This window comes from Homo sapiens, chromosome 2 (genome assembly GCF_000001405.40).
Source record: "Homo sapiens chromosome 2, GRCh38.p14 Primary Assembly".
In the NCBI taxonomy this organism is placed as follows: Eukaryota; Metazoa; Chordata; class Mammalia; order Primates; family Hominidae; genus Homo; species Homo sapiens.
The window spans coordinates 221,721,898-221,743,688 of NC_000002.12; the positions used below are offsets into that span (position 1 = coordinate 221,721,898).

The 21,791-nt window shown below is 35.0% G+C and overlaps 1 long non-coding RNA gene across 3 annotated transcripts in view; it reads left to right on the forward strand.

Moving 5' to 3' along the window:
- LOC105373899 (uncharacterized) overlaps positions 1 to 16,789 on the forward strand; it is a 101,158-nt gene extending 84,369 nt beyond the window's left edge. For 2 of the 3 annotated variants that reach the window (XR_923942.1, XR_001739234.1), the window contains 3 exons: positions 10,722 to 10,856; positions 14,777 to 14,958; positions 16,624 to 16,789. This is a non-coding gene — a long non-coding RNA (uncharacterized LOC105373899). The remainder of the gene's footprint in view (positions 1 to 10,721; positions 10,857 to 14,776; positions 14,959 to 16,623) is intronic. The other variant, XR_001739235.1, reaches the window with a different exon arrangement.
- The last annotated feature ends 5,002 nt before the right edge of the window (positions 16,790 to 21,791 follow it).

Here is a 21,791-nt window from a genome sequence, read left to right on the forward strand (position 1 = left end):
TGACCAATTATAATTGGATTATTATTATTATTATTTTGCTGTTGAGATGTTTGAGTTTTTGTATAGACAGAATATTCATCCTTTGTCAGATTAATATTTTGCAATTATTTTCCTCATTCTACAGGTTGTTTTTCACTCTGTTGATTGTTTCCTTTGCTGTCCAGAAGCTTTTTAGTTTGATATAGCCCTATTTGCCTGTTTTTGTTTATGTTACCTGTGCTTTTGAAGTCCTAGCCGTAAAATCTTTTCCTAGACCAATGTCATAAAGCATTTCCCCTGTTTTCTTTTAGTAGTTTTGTAGTTTTAGTTCTTACATTTAAGTATTTAATCCATATTAAGTTGGTTTCTGTAAATGGTGAGAGTTAGAGACATAGTTCCATTCTTCTGCAAATAGATATCTAGTCTTCCTAGAACCACTTGTTGAAGGGACTATCCTTCTCCCAATGAAAAGGGGCTTTTGTCAAAAATCTGACAGCCATAAATATGTGGTTTTATTTCTTGATTTTCTATTTGGTTTTATTGGTCTATGTGTCTGTTTTTATGCCAGTAGCATGTTGTTTTGATTACTATAGCTTTGTAGTATATTTTGAAATCTGGTAATGTAATGCCTGCAGGTTTGTTGTTTTTACTCAGGATTGCTTTTAGGTCTTTATGGTTTCATACGAATTTTAGGAAATTCACATGAACAATAATAGAAGATTTAGAAATTTTCTATTTCTGTGAAGAATGTCATTGGTGTTTTGACAGGGACTGCATTGACTCTGTAGATTGCTTTGGGTAGTATGATCATATTGAAAATATTATTTTTTTCCAATTCAAGAGCATGAGATGTCTTTTCATTTGTTTGTGTAATCTTCAGTTTCTTTTATTAATGTTTTGTAGTTTTCATTATCAAGGTCTTTCATCTTTTTTATTAAATTCATTCCTAGGTATTTCTTTGTAGCTATTATAAATGGAATTGCTATCTTGATTTCTTTTTCAGCTAGTTCATTATTGATATATAAAATTGTTACTGATTTTTGTTGTTGATGTTGTATCCTGCAACTTTATTGGATTCAGTTATCAATTATAAGGTTTTTTTGGTGGAATATTTAACTTTTTCTATATATAAGATTACATGATCTTAAATAAAGAAAAGACTATAGATGTAGTCTGCAAAGAGGCATAATTTGACTTTCTCTTTTCCAATTTGGATGTTTTTTATTTCTTTTTCTTGCCTAACTTTTTCTGGCTAAAACTGCCTGTACTGTGTTGAATAAAAGTAGTGAAAGTGGGCATGTCTATCTTGTTCCAATTCTTAAAGGAAAGGGCTCCCCCTCCCTGCAATTCAATATAATACTATCTCTGGGTTTGTTATGCATGGCCTTTTTTGTTGCTGTATATTCATTTGATGCATAATGATATGGTTTGGCTGCTTTCCCACCCAAATTTCATTGAGAATTGTAGTTTCCATAATTTCCACGTGTTGTGGGAGGGAACTGGTGGGAGATAATTCAATCATGGGGGTGGTTTTCCCCATACTGTTCTCATAGTAGTAAATAAGTCCCACAAGATCTGATGGTTTTATAAGGGGAGACCCATTTCACTTGGTTCTCATTTTCTTTTTGCCTGCCTCCATGTAAGATGTTCCTTTGCTCTTCCTTCATCTTCTGCCATGATTGTGAATACTCTCCAACCATGTGGAACTGGTAGTCAATTAAAACTCTTTTCTTTATAAATTACCCAGTCTTGGGTACATCTTTGTTAGTAACATAAGAACAGACTAATACAGTAAATTGGTACCTGTAGAGTGTGGCACTGCTGTAAAGATATCCAAAATTGGAAGTGACTTTGAAACTGGGTATCAGGCAGAGGTTGAAACAGTTTGGAAAGCTCAGAAGAAGACTGAAAAATGTGAGAAAGGTTGGAACTTCCTAGAGACTTGTTGAATGGCTTTGACCAAAATGCTGATAAAGATATGGACAATAAAATCCCGGCTGAGGTGGTCTCAGATGGAGATGAAGAACTTGTTTGGAACTGGTGTAAGGTGACTCTTGCTATGTTTTAGCAAAAAGATTGGTGGCATTTTGCCTCTGCCTTAGAGATTTGTGGAAATTTGAAATTGAGGGAGATGATTTAGGATATCTGGCAGAAGAAATTTCTAAGCAGCACAGCATTCAAGAGGTGACTTAGGTGCTGTTAAAAACATTCAGTTTTAAAAGAGAAGAAGAGCATAAAAGTTCAGAAAATTTCCAGCCTGATGATGTGATAGAAAAGAAAAACCCATTTTCCGAGAAGAAATTCAAGCTGGCTGCAGAAATTTGCATAAGTAATGAGGATCCACATGTTAATTGCCAAGACAATGGGGAAAATGACTTCAGGGCATGTCAGAGAACTTTGCAGCAGCTCCTCCCACCACAAGACTGGAGGCCTAGGAGGAAAAAATGGTTTCATGGGCCAGGCCCAGGGCCCCCCTGGTATGTGCAGCCTAGGAACTTGGTGTCCTGCATCCCAGCTGCTCTAGCCATGGCTAAAAATGGCCAAGGTGTACCTCAGGCTGTGGCTTCAGAGGGTGCAAGCCCCAAGCCTTGGCAGCTTCCATGTGGTTTTGAGCCTGCAGGTGCACAGAAGTCAAGAATTGAAGTTTGAGAAGCTTCTCCTAGATTTCAGAGAATGTATGGAAGTGCCTGCATGTCCAGACAGCAGTTTGCTGCAGGGGCGAGGCTCTTATCCTCTGCTAGGGCAGTGTGGAAGGGAAATGTGGGGTTGAAGCCCCCACATATAGTCCCCACTGGGGCACTGCCTAGTGGAGCTGTGAGAAGATGGCCACTATCCTCCAGACCCCAGCATGGCAGATCCACCAACAGCTTGCACTGTGTGCCTGGAAAAGCCACAGACACTCAACACCAGTCAGTGAAAGCAGTTGGGAGGGAGGCTGTACCTTACAAAGCGACAGAGGTGGAGCTCCCCAAGACCATGGGAACCCACCTCTTGCATCAGCAAACCTTGGATATGAGACATGGAGTCATTTCCTCCAGAAATAAAGAAGAAATAGTCTTTCCCAGACAAGCAAAAATTCATCACCAGTAGACAGACCTTATAAAAAATGCTAAAGAGAGTGTTTCACCTGTAAGTGAAAGGATGACAAATACTACCATGAAAACATATGAAAGTATAATTCTCACTGGTAGAGGTAAATTACTATCAAATTTCAAATACTCCATTACTGCAATGGTGGCATATAACCTTTCAAATCTCTAGTATGAAGACTGTAAGTCAAAATGGTCAAAGATAACTATAACAAGTTTCTAAGGGACACACAATATAAAAAGATGTACATTAAGGTAATAAAATTATAAACTGAGGGGGAGGGCAAAAATTTTTGATCACATATATGTGATCAAAGTTAGATTGTTATTAGCTTAAAACAGCTTAAGTTTTCTTTTTAATGTAAGCTCCATAATAATCACATGGAAAAAAATTGTAGCAGATACACACATGAGAAAGAGAAAGGAATAAAAACTTATCACTGCAGAAAACTGACAATACACAAAGGTAAACAATAAGAGAGGAAGAAAGGTAAAGGGTTTTATATATATATATAAAATATATATAAAATATATATTAATATATTATAAAATAATATATAAAAATAAAATAATATATAATTATATATCATTTTTATATAATAAAATTATATATTATTTTTATATAATAAAATTATGTAATAATAATTTATTTATTTATAATTTATTTATATATTTATTATTTAATAATAAATATAATTATTTATTTTAATAATAATTTTATAAAAATATAATTTATTTATATATAAATAAATATATAAATAAATTAATATAATTAATATAATTAATTTATTAATATAATATAATTAATTTTTAATTATAATTAAATATTTAATTAATTAAATAATTAAATTAATTTAATTGTTTTAAATAAATTTAAAAGAATGCATTATTTTAATATTATATATTATATATTAATATATATTTATTAATAATTAATAATTAAATTAATCTAATTATTTAAATTATTGATTAATTTAATTTATTAAATTAATTAATATAATTAATTTATTAATAAATTATTATATAAAATAGTAATAAATATATTTATATATACTTATATATAAATATATAAATTTATAATTTATATATTTGTAATAAATAAATATAATTTATTTTACAATAATTTTATAATAATAAATATAATTTATACATTTATTAATTATAATAAATATAATTTATACATTTATTAATTATAATAAATATTTATTTATTATATAATAAATTTTATAATAAAATAATATTATATAATAATAATATATATAAAAATAAAATAATATATATAAAAATAAAATTATATATTATATATATATAAATAAAACCCAGAAAACAACGAAATGGGAGGAGTAAGTCCTTACCTACCAAAAATAACCTTAAATATAACTTGCTTACATTTTCCAATTAAAAGATAGAGAGGGGCTGAAAAGATTATAAAAAAAAAGACCTAAGTATATGCTTCCTACAAGAAACTCAATTCACCTGTAAAGACACACATAGACTGAAAATGAAGGAAGGGAAAATGATATTCCATGCAAATGGAAACCAAAAGAGAACAAGAGTAGTTATACTTATGTCAGATAAAATAGAGTTTAAGTCAAAAATGTAAGAAGAGACAAAGAAAATCACTATATGATGATTAGAGGTAAATTCAGAAAGAAGATTAGCAATTGTAAACATATATGCATCCAACACCAAACAACAAGGTACTAATATATAAAGTAAATATAATTAGAACTAATGAGAGTGATAGACTGCAATAAAATAATAGGAGGGATTATCAGTTGAGGACAGATCATCAAGGGTGCTTTCAAGGTTATTTGATGGAGTACGACCCAAGGTCACTCCAGCTTCTGAATGAAGGAATATGATGTGCTTATACTTAGAATTATTCTTCCCTATGATGACTGCAGATGACTAAGTGCTGACTTTCTTAATCTTCAGGATGAGTTCTTTTTCACATTCTTAGGATGAGTTCATATATATATATATGTATGTATAAACAAACTTCAATAAGGATGAGTTCCCCATGTGTCTCCCAGGAATTCTCGGACACATCAGAATCCCAACAAGGATTACAACTTAGACCCAAACTGGCTTGCACAATACAGAGGTCCTCCATGTCCCATGGATAAGGCTAATTAGAGAAAGTGAAGACCTAGACTGGTTGGGAATACAAGAAGAGACAAGGCTAGATAACAGCGACAGAATAAGTAGGATATTGAGAGGTTAGTTGAAAGCATATGTTAATGGTCAGAAGCATAAAAATGCTGAATGGCCAGAGTTTAGTATCTGGAAAGGGATCAAGCATTGAGATGAAAGCCCCAATGTTCTTGCTGGAATGTTAGAGTGGTAGATGGTTCACATGGTGGATGCTGGCAGATAGTACAGACCACTGAATTTTACTTTCCTGGAGTAAAATTCTTATGGCTTGGCTGAGTTACATCACCTCCATTTCCAATTCAGTAAGTGGTAGCTTTTATTACTGAAAGTGCTCTATCTTGCAATGTTTAAGAGGTAAAACAGTATACATAATGCAAATAGATGGGTATAATTAATCTCATATGGTGTATGAAGAGAAAAAGATGCCAACACAAATCACTGCCCAGAAGTCTTGATGTTTCACTGCCCTTGGAATCAGTGACACAGATTTAGTTATAGGTGAAGCTGCATTATAATGAGATCCTTCTGGTGGATTTGTAACTAAGTCCTCTTGGATGAGGTCCATTCAGACCACATGATACTGAATTCTGCCATTTCACATGATAAGTAATCATCTGTGAATATAGTATATTTTAATGGTGTCTGTCAGTTTTTAAAAAGTCAATTTAAATGGATAAATATATAGTTATGCATTTGACTCTATTTTTCCAGTATATGCCAAAAATTTGACATATTAAAACTTTAAACAACATTGGTGTTCTTCCAATTTTTAGAGTAAAGTTTATGTAGTTGAGACAAGCTATTGACTATAGGTTAGTGCTAAAATGTGTTTAGTTATTCAGGTTGTAGTAATAATAAAAAGCATAATAATAGCTTACATTGTCGAGTGCTTACAATATGCAAGAAATGTAAGACAGCTTTCTAAATGCTCTATGTGCAGTACCTTTACTCCATCCTTTTAAAAACATGAGGTAGGTACTGTTTCTTCTTTCATTTTAAGAAAAGAAACTACATCTTCATTCTCCCAAGAATGTACAATTATAGAGTGTTGGAATAGGAATTGGAGTCCAAACCTATTAAATTCTAAATCCATGTTCTTGACCGCTACTCAATACTGCTACTTTTTCTTAACAACAAAATCAGAATAAATATATCTAATATATTTATTAGCATTGTGTCCTGACACTGAGAAAAGGAAACAGAGAAATTAAAAATCTGCTAGGTTTATGTATGACAAACCCACAATCAGCATAATACTGAATGGGGAAAAGTTGAAAGCATTCCCCCTGAGAACTGGAACAAGACAAGGATGCCCACTTTCTCCATTTCTATTCAACGTAGTGTCAGAAGTCCTAGCCAAAACAATCAGGCAAGAGAGAAGGAAATAAATGACATTTAAAGTGGAAAAGAGGAAGTTTTCCAATGATATGATCATATACCTAGAAAACCCTAAAGACGCCTCCAAAACACTCCTAGAATTGATAAACAAAATCCACAAAGTCTCAGGTTTTAAAATCAATATACACAAATTAGTAGCAATGCTATACACCAACAATGATCAAGCTGAGAATCAAACTGAGGACTTAATCTCATTTACAATAACTGCAAAAAATTAAAATACCTAGGAATATACTTAACCAAGGAGGGGAAAGATCTCTGTAAGTAGAACTACAAAACACTGCTGAAGGAAATCACAAATGACACAAACAAATGGAAATACATCCCATGCTCACGAATTCAAAGAATCAATATTGTGAAAATGACTATAATGCTCAAAGCAATCTATAGAGACAGTGTAATTCCCATCAAAATGCCAGCATCGTTTTTCACAGAATTACGAAAACAAATTTTAAGATTCATATGGAACCAAAAAAGATCCTGTATAGCAAAGCAATCCTAAGCAAACAAAACAAAACTGTAGGCATCACATTACTGGACTTCAAATTATACTACAAGGCTACAGTTACCAAAACAGCATGGTACTGATATAAAAGTAGACATATAGACTAATGGAACAGAATAGAGACCCTATAAATAAAGCCAAATACTTACAACCAACTAATCTTTGACAAAGCATACAAAATATAAATTGGGGAAAGTATACCTTATTTAATAAATGGTGCTGGGAAAAGTAGATAACCACATGCAGAAGAATGATATTGGATGCCTATCTCTCACCTTATACAAAAATCATCTCAAAATGGATCAAAGACTTAAATCTAAAACCTGAAACCATAACAATTCTAGAAGATAACCTAGGAAAACTGCTTCTTGACATTGTCTTAGGCAAAGAATTTATGACTAAAATCCCAAAAGCAAATGCAACTATAATAAAAATAAATAAATAGGGTCTAATTATTTAAAAAGCACAAGAATTAATCATCAGAGTAAACAGACAACCCACAGAATGAGAAAAAATATTTGCAAACTATGAATCTGACAAAAGACTAATAGCCAGAATCTACAAGAAACTCAAACAAATCAATAAGAGAAAACAAATGATCCTATAAAAAAATGGGCAAATGACAGGAATAGACATTTTTCAAAAGAAAATATACAAATGAACAACAAATATATTTTAAAAAACACTCAACATCACTAATCATCAGGGAAATGCAAATTAAAACCACAATGAGATACCAACTTACTCTTGCAAAAATAGCTGCTATTAAAAAGAAACAATAGATGCTGGCATAGATGTGGTGAGAAGGGAATGTTTATACACTGCTGGTGGGAATGTAAATTAGTGCAACCTCTATGGAAAACAGTATGGAGATTTGTTAAAGAACTAGTTCTGCCATTCAATCTAACAATTCCACTACTGGATATCTACCCAAAGGAAAAAAAGGTATTATATCAAAAAGACACCTACACACCTATGCTTACTACAGCACAATTCACAATTGCAAAGATATGGAATCAACCTAAGTGCCCATCAACCAATGAGTGGATAAAGAAAATTTGGTGTATATACACTAAAGAATACCACACAGCCACAACAAAGAATGAAATAATGTATTTTGGCAGGGCGTGGTGGCTCATGCCTGTAATCCCAGGACTTAGGCAGGCAGAGGCGGGTGGATCACCTGAGGTCAGGGGTTCGAGACCAGCCTGCTCAACATGGTGAGACCTCATCTCTACTAAAAATATAAAAAGTTAGCCAGGCGTGGTGGCAGGCACCTATAATCCCAGCTACTTGGGAGGCTGTGGCAGGAGAATCACTTGAACCCAGAAGGTGGAGTTTGCAGTGAGCCGAGATAGCACCATTGCACTCCAACCTGGGTAACAATAGCGAAACCCTGTCTCAAAATAATAACAACAATAATAATAATAATAATAATAATAATAATGTGTTTTTAGCAACTTGGATAGAGCTGGAGGCCATTATTCTAAGTGAAGTAACTCAGGAATGGAAAACCAAATACTGTATGTTCTTACTTATAAGTGGGAGCTAAGCTATGGGTACACAAAGGCATACAGAATGATATAATGAACTTTGGAGACCCAACTGTGGGGGATGGGAAGGGAGTGAGGGGTACAAACCTACCTACTGGGTACAATGTACACCACTCGGGTAACAGGTGCACTGAAATATCAGACTTCACTATACCACTATTCAATTCATCCATGTAACCAAACACCACGTATACCTCTAAAGATATTGAAACAAAAAAAAATTAAAAAAAATTAAAAATCTGCTAGGTTTAATCAAGAAGTATTTCTTGAATATCTAGAATGTGTTCAGCAAAGATGAAAAGCAGAAGGGATATGATCTCTGCTTTATAATTTATAATCTGTAATTGGGAAAAAAAAGAACCCTCAGAAAATAATAGCAAGCAGAAGAAGAATAAATAGAATTAATGGGGAAAGAAAAAGTAATAGAATTAACGGGGAAAGAAAAAGTATGTGGACAGACCTTTAATACCTGAGATGATGGGATCATTGGGGAATGAAGTGACCAGCAGATTTAGAACAAATGAGACTTGATAAGTCAGAAGGAAAAGGTAACATCTTTGTTACATCCTCTTTGTCTTAAAAGAAAGGTATTATACATTTACACACATACGTGAACCACACTTTTTTAAAACATGGAATAAACATATACACCTGAAGTATATAAAACATATATGTAGGTTCCAATGATTAATTATAAAGCAAATACAATATAACTCCCTCTCAGGTTAAGAAATTGAAAATAACTGATTTCCAAAATCTCCCCATGTGTCCTTCCCAATCCAAACTCCCTTGAAGCACATTTGATGAACTTGTATGACACAAAGAAAGAACTGTAAATAGAGCCCAACAATTGTATTCCTGGCAGCTTGTTGTTCTGAGTTAAAAATGGCATAGACAGAGTGAAATTTTAGTCATGTCCTGAAAAGCAGAAACCCTCACCAATAATTAAGCCAGTCTCTGCTTAACCAAACCTGTGTGTGTCTCACAATGAGTAACTGATCAACAAGAAGTTTCTCAAGTAACTTTCCAGATGTTGCTGATTGAGACATCCTTCAGCTACCATGACAAATAGGGCAGAATTAAGTGAATGGCAGGCATGCGACACGAAGGTAGCCAGGCCTATCTTGACGGGACTCTACCATTCAGCAGCAGGCCCTTGATGCTGAGTAATCTGGATAAACACAACTGAACAAAGGTTAAACCTACTCTTGTTTGAATTAACTCTAATCCTGCTCATCAGCCTTAAGGAATGGAGCAGTCATATTTTTTGGAACACACAGTAACAAGAAAAGCCTAATTAGAGAGCAAAGGGTAGATGTTTAGCAGCTCTAATAAATGTAATGTGCTGAATGCATTATCTATTTGGCAGAAAACAAATTATGGTGTAATCTGCAGCATTCAGGCAGTCTAATTTATGGCATCTCATTTAAGGAAATTCTTTAACCCAGCATTTTGAGATCATAAAGCACATTTTAACAAATGCAAGCATGATTTTCTGGAATTCAGAGAGACCTTTAAGAGATGGGAATTTTCTGGAATATACCAGGACCATTTGAATGTGTTTTTTTTAAAATAAATTAGTTCATAAATACTATCCTAGCAGCTTGATATTACCAAATGATGGGAAAAATTTTTTTAAATATTTTTTTCTGAAATAAATGGAAAATTTTTCACTGCACAATTGTTTTGTAGGACTCACTCAATATTTGATCATTGTTGCTTGTAACCTTTCAATTGCCTTTGGTTGTGCTTAGAAACCCAGTTTCCAGCCTTCCTACTCCACACCTCCCCCAGCTCTCCTAGCCAACTAAGCTTCAGCCATGGTGGCCTACTTTCTGCTACTCTATAAGGCTACTTCTGGCCTCAGGATCTTAGCACTGGCTCCTTGCCTCTGCCTGAAAAGCTCTTCTGCAGATTCTTGTGTGGCTGGTATCTTCTTATGATTTTTTTACAGTGCCTCTTCTACAGAGATATCTTCTCAGATCACTTTCTATTCAAGGTTCTCCAAACACTCTCCTGTTACTCTGATTTTCTTCACAGTACCTACAACTACCTGAAGTTAACTCAGTTGTTTATTTACTGCCTGTCTCACCTATTAGAATATACATTCCACTGAGCAGTGACTTCATCCTGTTCAATCACCTTTGATCTTCACTGCCAAGAATAAAACTGAAGGTATGGTAGGTGCCCACCATATTAATGCCAATATGAATAAATGAGTGAATATAATGGAGAGAAACTTAGGTAAATCTCAGTGCCAGAATTCCTACCAGTCTGGAAAATTTAATATCACAAGTTGTATTTTAAATGTTCTTCATTAACCTAGAAAAAAAATACCTAATAGCACCAATATCAGAAGTACTTTGTGTTTGTGTGTATAACTGTAACAACCTTCCTATGATTGGCTAAAAAATATATTGCGTATACAAAATGTCTTTTTCTTGCCAGTGGGAAAACTAATGTTCAGAATGGCTCATCTACTTATTCAAGTTAGAAAGTATCAGAGACAAAATCAAAGTTAATATTCAATGATTTCATTTATAAACTGTGAATTGATCTTCCCACAATTTTCTTCTGGCTGGAAATATACAAAATAGGTGATAAATGAAGAACTAGTCATACAATATGTCAATGGCTTTGTAATAAGAATAATTGGTAAATTTGCCTTGAATTATTCATTTTTTTCTTACTTTTCTCTTTCTTATAGGCAAAGTGAACACTCTTTTTCCTTTTATTATAATATATGCAAATTTTAAAAATGAGTTCTATTTTAACATTTTTTTGTCAATCTACATTATCAAAATGACGTTCCATGCCTGAAAGGTAGTCACCTGTCTACATTGAACTATAGTTACTGTGCAGTTCATTATTTACACAAATGCTATAAATCGAGGTATTGCACTAATAGTGGGCTTGATATGCAGATATCACTTGTCTAAGTCATATGAAATATAGTATTTCTCATTATTATATTATGCCATCCTAGTGGTCTTGAGGAGAGTCAAATGAAGACCTATTTCTCAAACGACTAAAACCAACTCAAGGTGCCTATTCCAAATGGTAGGTTGTTACTTTCCCTCAGATTTCTCACAATGTTACAGTTATGTAGGTGCTGAGAAGGAAGCACTCTACCAATAAACCCAAGAAGGCTCTGGAATATTTATCCCAAATTATGGCCAACCCAATAAACTAAAATAAGAATGGACATTTTCATTGCTTTCACAAGAGTCAAATAAAAATCATTGCTTAAAAGTTTTAATACCTTTGGAAGACCAATAATACACTCTGGATCCATTTTTGTGTGTGTGTGTGTGTGTATGTTTTGTTTTGTTTTGTTCGGTTTGGTTTGGTTTGAGACAGGGTCTTGCTCTATCACCCAAGCTGAAGTGCAGTGGCACGATCACGACTCACTGCAGACTTGACTTCCCGGGCTCAATAAATACAGCCACCTCAGCATCCTGAGTAGCTGGGATTACAGGCATTTACCACCTCACCTGACTAATTTTCATAATTTTTTTAAGAGATGGTCTCACTCTGTTGCCCAGTCTGGTCTCAAACTCATGGGTTTCAGTGAATCTGCCTGCCTTGCCTCCCAAAGTGCTGGAATTACAGGCATGAGCCACAGCTCCTGGCCTGGATCCATTTTTAAAGTCTGCCCTTTTTGCCTCCCTGGTTGAACTTAATGCTAGAAAATGCTTTTCCACCATGGATACTCCTTTGCCTATATGCTTCTAGTTCTAGTCAAAGTCCATATCCCATCTTGCCTTAAGGGGAACATGTTTTTGGAGGAAGTCAAGGTTTTAATCATTTTAACATAACTCATTGTGTGATGCTACGGCTACAGGCAAGTGATTTGACTATTTTAGCTGCGTGGAGCTTCTAACAAGTTAGCACAAGCATTTATCAACTGAGCAATTTGTTATCATTTTTAGGAATAATAATTTAAGCAAATCAATTATGCACTTGTAGATATAGCTATTGGCTTTGTCTACATCAGTGATTCTTAGATTCTATCGCCTATCTCCTGAAACAGTGTATCAGACACTTAGGTTTCATGAAGCTACTCTTGGTTCAAAAATGTATTGTAAACAAAGTAGAAAGAATAATCCAAGGCAAAACTATAGAGACAGTAAAAACATCAGTGGTTGCCAGGTGCTAGTGTGGAGGGACGGATAAATAGACAAAGCAGAGAGCATTTGTAGGGCAATGAAACTATGCTATTCGATACTATAATGATAGATACATGTCATTATGCATTTGCCCAAATTCATATAATTTAAAACACCAAGAGTGCACCTTAATGTAAACTATGCACTTTGGGTGGTAATAATGCATGAAGGTAGGTTCAGCAATTGTAACACAGGTACTACTGTTTTGTTTTTTTTTTTTTTTTGAGACGGAGTCTCGCTCTGTTGCCCAGCCTGGAGTGCAGTGGCGCATCTCTGCTCACTGCAAGCTCCGCCTCCTGGGTTCACACCATTCTCCTGCCTCAGCCTCCCAAGTAGCTGGGACTACAGGCGCCCGTCACCAAGCCCAGCTAATTTTTTGTAATTTTTTTTGTTTTTTTAGTTAAGACGGGGTTTCACCATGTTAGCCAGGATGGTCTCGATCTCCTGACCTCGTGATCCGCCCACCTCGGCCTCCCAAAGTGCTGAGATTACAGGCGTGAGCCACCGCACCTGGCCACAAATGTACTACTCTTATATGTGATGTTGATAATGCATGTATGGGGCACAGAGTATATAGGAAAGCTCTGTACCTTCTGCTCAATATTGCTGTGAACCTAAAACTGCTCTAAAAATAAATTCTATGAAAAAGGATAATCTTGTCACTAAAGGAAAATTATTGTTAACATTTATGTGTATCTCCATGAATCCAAGCATTCATACAAAATAAAGTTATATTACAAAGTAAAGTTGTAGTATACAACATCAAATATTCTTCCCTAACTTTATTATCCATAAATGCATGGCATTCTTGTCAGTATATACCAAAACTTATTTAAGCATTCTGTTGTTTTTGGAAATATAGATTATACCCAAGTTTTCTGTTTATTCATTTGTATTTTGCTTCTGTAAACAAAGCTACAAAAATATTCTGACAGCTATATCTTTCAGTATGTTCACAATTAGTTTACTTGCATTGTTTGGAAATAAGATTTGGCATATATAATCAAATAATTCATTTAATCTAAAGGTAAAGTTAGAGGTGTTATCATATTGTGACTATGATCTCTTCAGAGCACAGAACTTTGGCTAATAGTAACAGTAAGAGTAGCAGCAATTATTATTGTTGTTGTTTTTATTTTTATTTATTGGGTATTTAGGTATCAAGCACTATGCAAAGCACTTTACAAACAAAGCCTCGTTTAATATTTATAAAGCTTTCTTGAAGAAGGTATTATTATCCCATCAATTATTTATGAAAAAAATAGCAAAAATTGAATGCATCACAGTCTTTAGGTAAACTGTTTTAGTATCAAAATATTGTTATATCTATTCAGTTGTTGGTATTGCCTACATTGTACATAGCTATTTATGTAAACTTTTATTTTATTCTTTTTTTAGGTTTTTTAAATTTTTTTATTTTTTATTTTATTATTATTATACTTTAAGTTTTAGGGTACATGTGCACAATGTGCAGGTTAGTTACATATGTATACATGTGCCATGCAGGTGTGCTGCACCCATTAACTCGTCATTTGGCATTAGGTATATCTCCTAATGCTATCCCTCCCCCCTCCCCCAACCCCACAACAGTCCCCAGAGTGTGATGTTCCCCTTCCTGTGTCCATGTGGTTCTCATTGTTCAATTCCCACCTATGAGTGAGAACATGCGGTGTTTGGTTTTTTGTCCCTGTGATAGTTTACTGAGAATGATGATTTCCAATTTCATCCATGAGTTTTAATCATGAAAAATTTCAAACATATATTGGCCTAAATTTCTCACCTGCATCCATACCTTTGGCCACAGAACTTTGTTGCACTCTAACCTTCTGCCATGTGACTTGTTGAGGTCAATAGAATGAAGCTACTTTGAAGCCAAGGCCTGCAGAGGCTTTCTGTATTTCACTTGTCTTCTTGCACCTGTCACAGAAGTAAACATGTGCCTGTCTGGGCCGTTGAAGAATGAGAGGTTTGTGAAGCAAAGCTGAGATGCTTCAGTCTTCCAACCATGGACATCGTCAGTCAGCTGACAGCCAGCTAACCCCAGACATGAGAATGAGCCCAGCCAAGATCAGTAGCACCACCGAAGCCACTAACAGTCAACCACAGAGGTGTGAGTAATAAATATTCATTGTGGCATGCCACTGAAGCTTTGTGAGTGTTTGTTATGAAGCACTACCCTAATAGCTAGTTGATACACATAAAAGAATAGAGATAATATTGTACCACACCCTCATGCATCTATTATCCACTTTCAACATCATTCAACACATGGCTCATCTTGTTTCCTATATACTCACTACTTCCATCCGTATTATGTTGAATCAAATCCCACACTCTGGATTTTGTTTTTCACAGACTTGTGGTGTCATTTGCCATGTTCTTCTGCCCTTTAATTTCCCATAAACTTGTGGTTTGATCTAAAGACTCAGATAAGCTCAGGTTTCATTTTTAGGCAGCGATACTTCAGAGCTAGTTATAAATTCATTTTGTATCACCTGGGGAGCTTGCCATGTCTAGTTAGTATCTTTCTCTCTTTGTGATGTTAATATTAAACAGGCATTCAGGCATTGCAAATTTGATTCATCTATTAGAGGCTTCTCACAGTGTTTCATCTAACCGTTTTTGCAGATTATAAGGGTTTTCACCTAGATCGGTTATTTTATTCTGGGCTGCCAAATAGTGATATTTTAATTCTATAATTCCTTATGCATTTATTCCTTGGAATTTATCTGTAAAGAGGGACTTTCTCTTCATGATTATTTGGCTATCTTAATGTACAGATGGCTCAGAAGTAATTCTCCCCCTTTATTGATTAGTTTTCAGAAGAGTAAATTGGCTTCTAAAAATCCTCCAAATATGACTAATGAGTTTGAGTATTTTTGAGAGTCATTAATGAACTCAATGATGTCAGCTTAGTTTGTGTATTTAAGCCCATTGTAGTAATTACACAAGCATTTTTCAAAAGAAAAAGTTATAAAAATCATGTTTTGCTTCTTTTATATCACTACTATATATAGTACATTTTTATTTCAACTGAGCCTATCTTTAATATTGTAATCAGGTGTACTTATTCTATTCTCCTGACTGTTTTTAGCTATAAAATATATTTATTCCGTTTATAATGAAAATTATTTTGCTATCAGTCAGTCTTCTGGATATTCATTGTGAGTAAAAATGTCTTCTCTTGGGGATATTTTTAAAAAATGGTCTATTCATGGAATTTGTTAAGTTAATTGACTTAATATATTTATTAAGCTCTATGTAATTCAGACATCAATGCCATGGCATTATCTGACACCCACACACACACAGACACACACACACACAAATTTCTCCTATTTAGAAACCTATTTGGACGTTATTATTTCAAAGAAAGTTCTAGGAGAGGATTAGAAAATATCGTGTGCGTGTGTGCAAGATTCCAGCGACTAGAGATGCTTGACTTGCAAAAGAGCTTTAGACACTTATGAAATATACGAGCTCAAGGTCAAAGAACTCTGAAATTTCCTGGGTGTGGTTCTTGCCAATGTGACGAAAGTTGATGTACTGCTACTAGGAAAGTCCTGGCAAAATGGAGTGTATAAGGAACTTTCTGTACCGTTTATTTACTTATCAGGAAAAACATATGGTAAACAGAAATTGGCTCTTCAAAATGCAACTGACCACCCTCCTCTACCCCAATTCTACCCCGTTAATACTTTCTGCCCCTATACAGGATACTCTTCTCATGCATCTAGCTTCATTTCTAATTATTTACATTTCTTATTTCATAGGAACATTTGGCTAATAAGATTATACCAGATCATCCACCAATGTGCCATCCTAACTATGTAAATGACAGAGATCTGAAGATCATTTTGTTTTCTATATGACAAAGTGAAAGTTATTTACCTCTATACTAAACATGTACTGGAATTGATATCATTAAATTTTGCCTTATAGTATGATAGGGAGACATTTCCATAAGCAATGTGTATCTATTGTAGAAAGATTGGAAAATTCTGAAGAGCACACAGAATAAAATAGAAATTGTGTAATCACACAATTCCAATATTGCTACTCTTATCATGTTGGGTTTTTGTTCTGCATCTTTTTGTAATATGATACCAGTTTTTGATGATCCACTGTGTTAGCTTGTTCTCGCACTGCTATAAAGAAAGACCCAAGACTGCGTAATGGATAAAGAAAAAAGGTTTAATTGGGTCATGATTCTGTAGGCTGTACAGGAAGCATAGTGGCTTCTGCTTCTGGGGTGGCTTCAGGAAACCTACGATCACGGCGGAAGATGAAGGGGGAGTGAACACCTCATATTGTTGGAACAGGAGCAAGAGAGAGAGGGGAGACTTGCTGAACGCTTTTAAACAACCAGATCTTGTGAAAACTCTTATCAGGAGAACAGCACCGAGGGGATGGTGCTAAACCATTCATGAGAAACTGCACCCATCATCCAAGCATCTACCACCAGGCTCTGGAGATTACAACAATGGAGATTACAGTTTAACATGAGATTTGGGCAGGGACACAGATCCAAACTCTATCATCCGCCTTAATTAATTTCTGAAACTAGGTGAGAAAAAGACACATTTTGAAACTTTGATAGTACTCTCTGGTACTTTCTCCTTTAAAAGCAAAAAAAAAAAAAAAAGGTCCAACATGAAACTAAAATGTTTCTGCGCATGAAAGGAAACAACAGAATGAAAAGACAACCTACAGATTGGGGAAAAAAGGTGTAAAGCATCTATTGAATAAGAGGTGGATATTCAAAATTTATAAAGAACTCATACAACTCAATAGCAAGAAAACATATAACATAATTTTAAAAATGGACAAAGGACCTGAATAGACATTTCTCTAAGAAAGATGTAAAGATGGCCAACAGGTATATAAAAGGATGCTCAACACCATTATAAGGGAAATGCAAATCAAAACCAGTATAAGAGGCTGGGCCTGGTGGCTCACGCCTGTAATCCCAGCACTTTGGGAGGCTGAGGCGGGCTGATCACTTGAGGTTAGGAGTTCAAGACCAGCCTGGCCAACATGGTGAAACCCTGTCTCTACTAAATACACAAAAATTAGCCAGGCATTGTGGTAGGTGCCTGTAATCCCAGCTACTGGGGAGGTTGAGGCAGGAGAATCGCTTGAACCCAGGAAGCGGAGGTTGCAGTGATCCGAAATCGTGCCATTGCACTCCAGCCTGGGCAACAAGAGTGAAACTCCATCTCAACAAAATAAAAAAAAGAAAACCACTATAAGATATCACTTCGTACCCATTAGGATAGCCATTATCAAAAAGACAAGAGGTAAGTGTTAGTAAGTGTGTGGAGAAAAGAGAACTCTTGTACACTGTTAGTGGGAGTATATATTGGTGCAGTCATTATGGAAAACTATATGTGGGTTCCTAAACAAATTAAAAATAGAATTACCATACGATCCAGCTACTCTGCTTAAGGGTATATACCCAAAGGGAATAAAATCACCACCTTGAAAAAAAAATCTGCACTCCCAAGTTCATTGTAGCATTATTCACAATAGCCAAGATATAGAAACAACTAAAGTGTCTGTCGACAGATGAATGAATAAAGAAGCTGTGGTGTGTATATATACAATGGAGTATCATTCAGCCTTAATAAAGCAGACCCTGCAGTTACCACAAAATGGATGAAGCTGGAGGACATTATGCTAAGTGAAATAAGCTGGACACAGTAAGAAAAATATTACAGAATCTCACTTTTATGTGGAATCTAAAAAAAAAAAGAGTCAAAGATACAAAGATAAAAAATAAAACAGTGGTTACCAAGGGCTGAGTGGTGGGGAGAAATTGGGAGATGCAGGTCAAAAGCTACAAAGTAGCAGATATGCAGGTGAACAAATTTGAAGACCAAATGTTCAACATGAGGACTATAGCTAATAATAGTGTATTGTATTCAGGATTTTTGTTAAATGAATAGATTATAGCTGTTCTTGCCACAGGTAAGAAAAATGGCAAAAATTACGTGAGATAATGGATATGTTTGTTTCACTATAGTAACAATTTTACTATATATGTGTCTCATAACATTATGTTGTATACCTTACATACCCACAACAAAAATTATTTTATTAATAATTGCAAGGCTATGAAACAAACCCAAAGAGTTTTCTGAATTGATAAAGAGGGTTGATCTAGGAATATATGTGAGAAGTACAGGAAGTGAAGTTTTGGTTCAACTTAAATGAAATTGATTTTCTAATATTTTAAGATCACAAATAATAATAGTATGCTGAAACCAGCTTGTACTTCTTCATGAGAGAGGACTGTTAAATTTTAAGAAATCTAGCAAACTGACTGACATCAGGTTGGTAGACTGAAATTGACCATAGTGGGAGAATTTACATCATGGAAATTAGCAAATGCTACAAACCAAGGCTTCCCACCTCACTCACATGCAGCACACTACAGCCACAGGGTATAGAAAGGTAATGTACATGACTGAACAGACCAGGTATCTAAAGTTAGGGAGTGGTCTAGACTATGACAAACTCAAGAGCCCTGTGTAAGGAAATCTCCTCAGTTCTAGACAGTTTGATATGGGAAAGGTGATTCAGCGTTTTCATTCTCTGTTTTATGAAATAAACCGAGAAATCTAGATATTTAAATGTGAAATTCTTTGAATTTTAAAACACCATTAAAGAAGTGGGGAAAAGGTGCTCTTCGGCTGAATACAAGCTATGGGCCAACCATTTTCAACTTTTGTTTAAAAAATGTGAGTTCCTTTTTCTCACTATGTCAAGCAGAGGGTAAGTGTTGTGGAGAATGGCAAAAGAGAATTCTTGCTTTGATAATTCTTAATGGAGGAAGTGTAAGGCCCTTCCAATGCAAAAACCTTCATGACTTTAGGAGGCTTTTCTTCTCCAAATGCCTTTTATTATTTGGGGGCATCACTCATGTACAGTCACGTGATATCTCTGTGGTCATGTTGAACTCCGCTTTATCTCTTGCACCAAGGGATACTGAAATCTGTGTTCTGGAAAGTTTGGAGACTAATGATTTCATAGCATCTTAGAATATTAGGGCTGGTAGATGATTGGTAAATCAACCAGCCTAAGGGTTTTTAACCCAGAATCCATAACTGAGCCTGGATGGTGGTTACAAATCCACTGAAAGTGTTCCATAGATTTCATCCATTATTCAAGTGTTCATGATCCAAAACTGGGTAAGAACCACCAATACATTAAGTTTCTTCAGTTACTCAACAGAGGTGGATAGAGTACTGGCTCCGTGCCAAATTACATGGGTAAACACTGGAGAACAAGCAAAATAGACACCTGAGTCTCTCTCCTCAAGGTGCATAAAATCTTGAAGAGGAGGCATACAATTAAACAAGCAACTATAATAAAGCACAGTTATCCTGTGACAAAAGAAGCACAAAGGATTGGGAAACTCATAAACGAGTATCTATCTTAGCCTAAGATGGATGGGTCAAGTGTTTTTAGGAAGAAGTATTGAAAGAAGTGACATTTAAATTAAAATCTGGAGGAAGAGTAGTAACTGGCCATTTGAAAAGATGGTTATCCCTCCAAATAGTTCAGAACCAGACTATAAACAGCAATTTCATTTAACATAGAAAGAAACTGAGACCTAAAAACCTGGAAAATCTTCCTCAAGTGACTTGAATACAGCATATACTGAAGAAAAGTTTGACATATGAATATGAATGAGTAAACAAACAATAAAAACAAAGACTCCTCTGTTGCAGAACACTGAGAAAGCTCGTTTACCTCTCCTCTGGGATTTATCCACCCATGTTGGAAACTGAGAATGCAATAACCCAACATCATGAGGAGAATCAATTAATCAACCCAATGAGGCTAGTTTTTCCATAGATTGTGGCTTTGGCTGACTTGGCCTTATTCTTTGCCTGTTGGAATTGTTCCTGCCTCTACATGCAGCCCTGCTTCTTAACCCATCATAAGTTTGAGCAGGAAGAATAAAAGAATGAAACTTAGTGGACCCCACTTTTAAGATGCCAAATACACTTTCCTTTCTTTGTAGGATTGGATATAGGAAAACATTATTTGTATACCCCTAAATTTTAAAGAACTTCTTGGGTGAGAAGCCTTGCTCATGCCTTATATTTTCAGATCAGATCTTTTCAGACTTTCTTTTAAAAAATGCAGTCATTAAAATGTTCACTTTTGGTCCCTGTTTTCTTCCTTATGACACCTGCTACATGATTATAAAACCCCACACCTCTGAGGAATTCACTTTTAAGGAAATAAGTATTAATAAAAATTGTAACTGTATGTCAGAGAAAACATTTTCTGTCATCTCTGAGACATTTGGGTACCAAGGATCCCAAGATTCTAAAGAAAAGTTATAAATATCTACCTGTAAGACTTGCTAAAAGTTGGCCAAAACCTTAATTGGGACTCTTATGTTACTTATCCTAACTACAACACTTTGAGAGCAAAAGAGGGCACTATTAGTAATTACACAGGGTCAAGAGGTATAAACCAGAATACATGATAACTTTAAGGCAATATTTCTCTCCAGCCCAAACAAAAGACAAAGAATGATTTTTAGCCCCTGTCAAGGTTAATGAAGGGGGATCCAAGAGTAATTAGGTTATTTTTTCCTTACCACCTGGGTGACTGTTGAAATAAAGTAACTCACAGGTTATAGTTGAATGGTGGCCTCCAAAAATAATATCTACGTCCTAACTCCCAAAACTGTTGAATGTGACCTTATTTGGAAAAAGGATCTTCACAGATGTAATTAGGAATCTTAAGGAGTGATCATCCTGGATTACTCAAATTGGCCCTAAATCCAATGACAATTGTCCTCATAAGAGACAAAAGAAGAGAAGGTAAAGACACAGAAGAAAAGTCCACATGAAGATAGAGGCAAAGATTGAGGACCAAGGAGTGTCTGGAGCTACCAGAAGCTGGAAGAAAAAGGAAG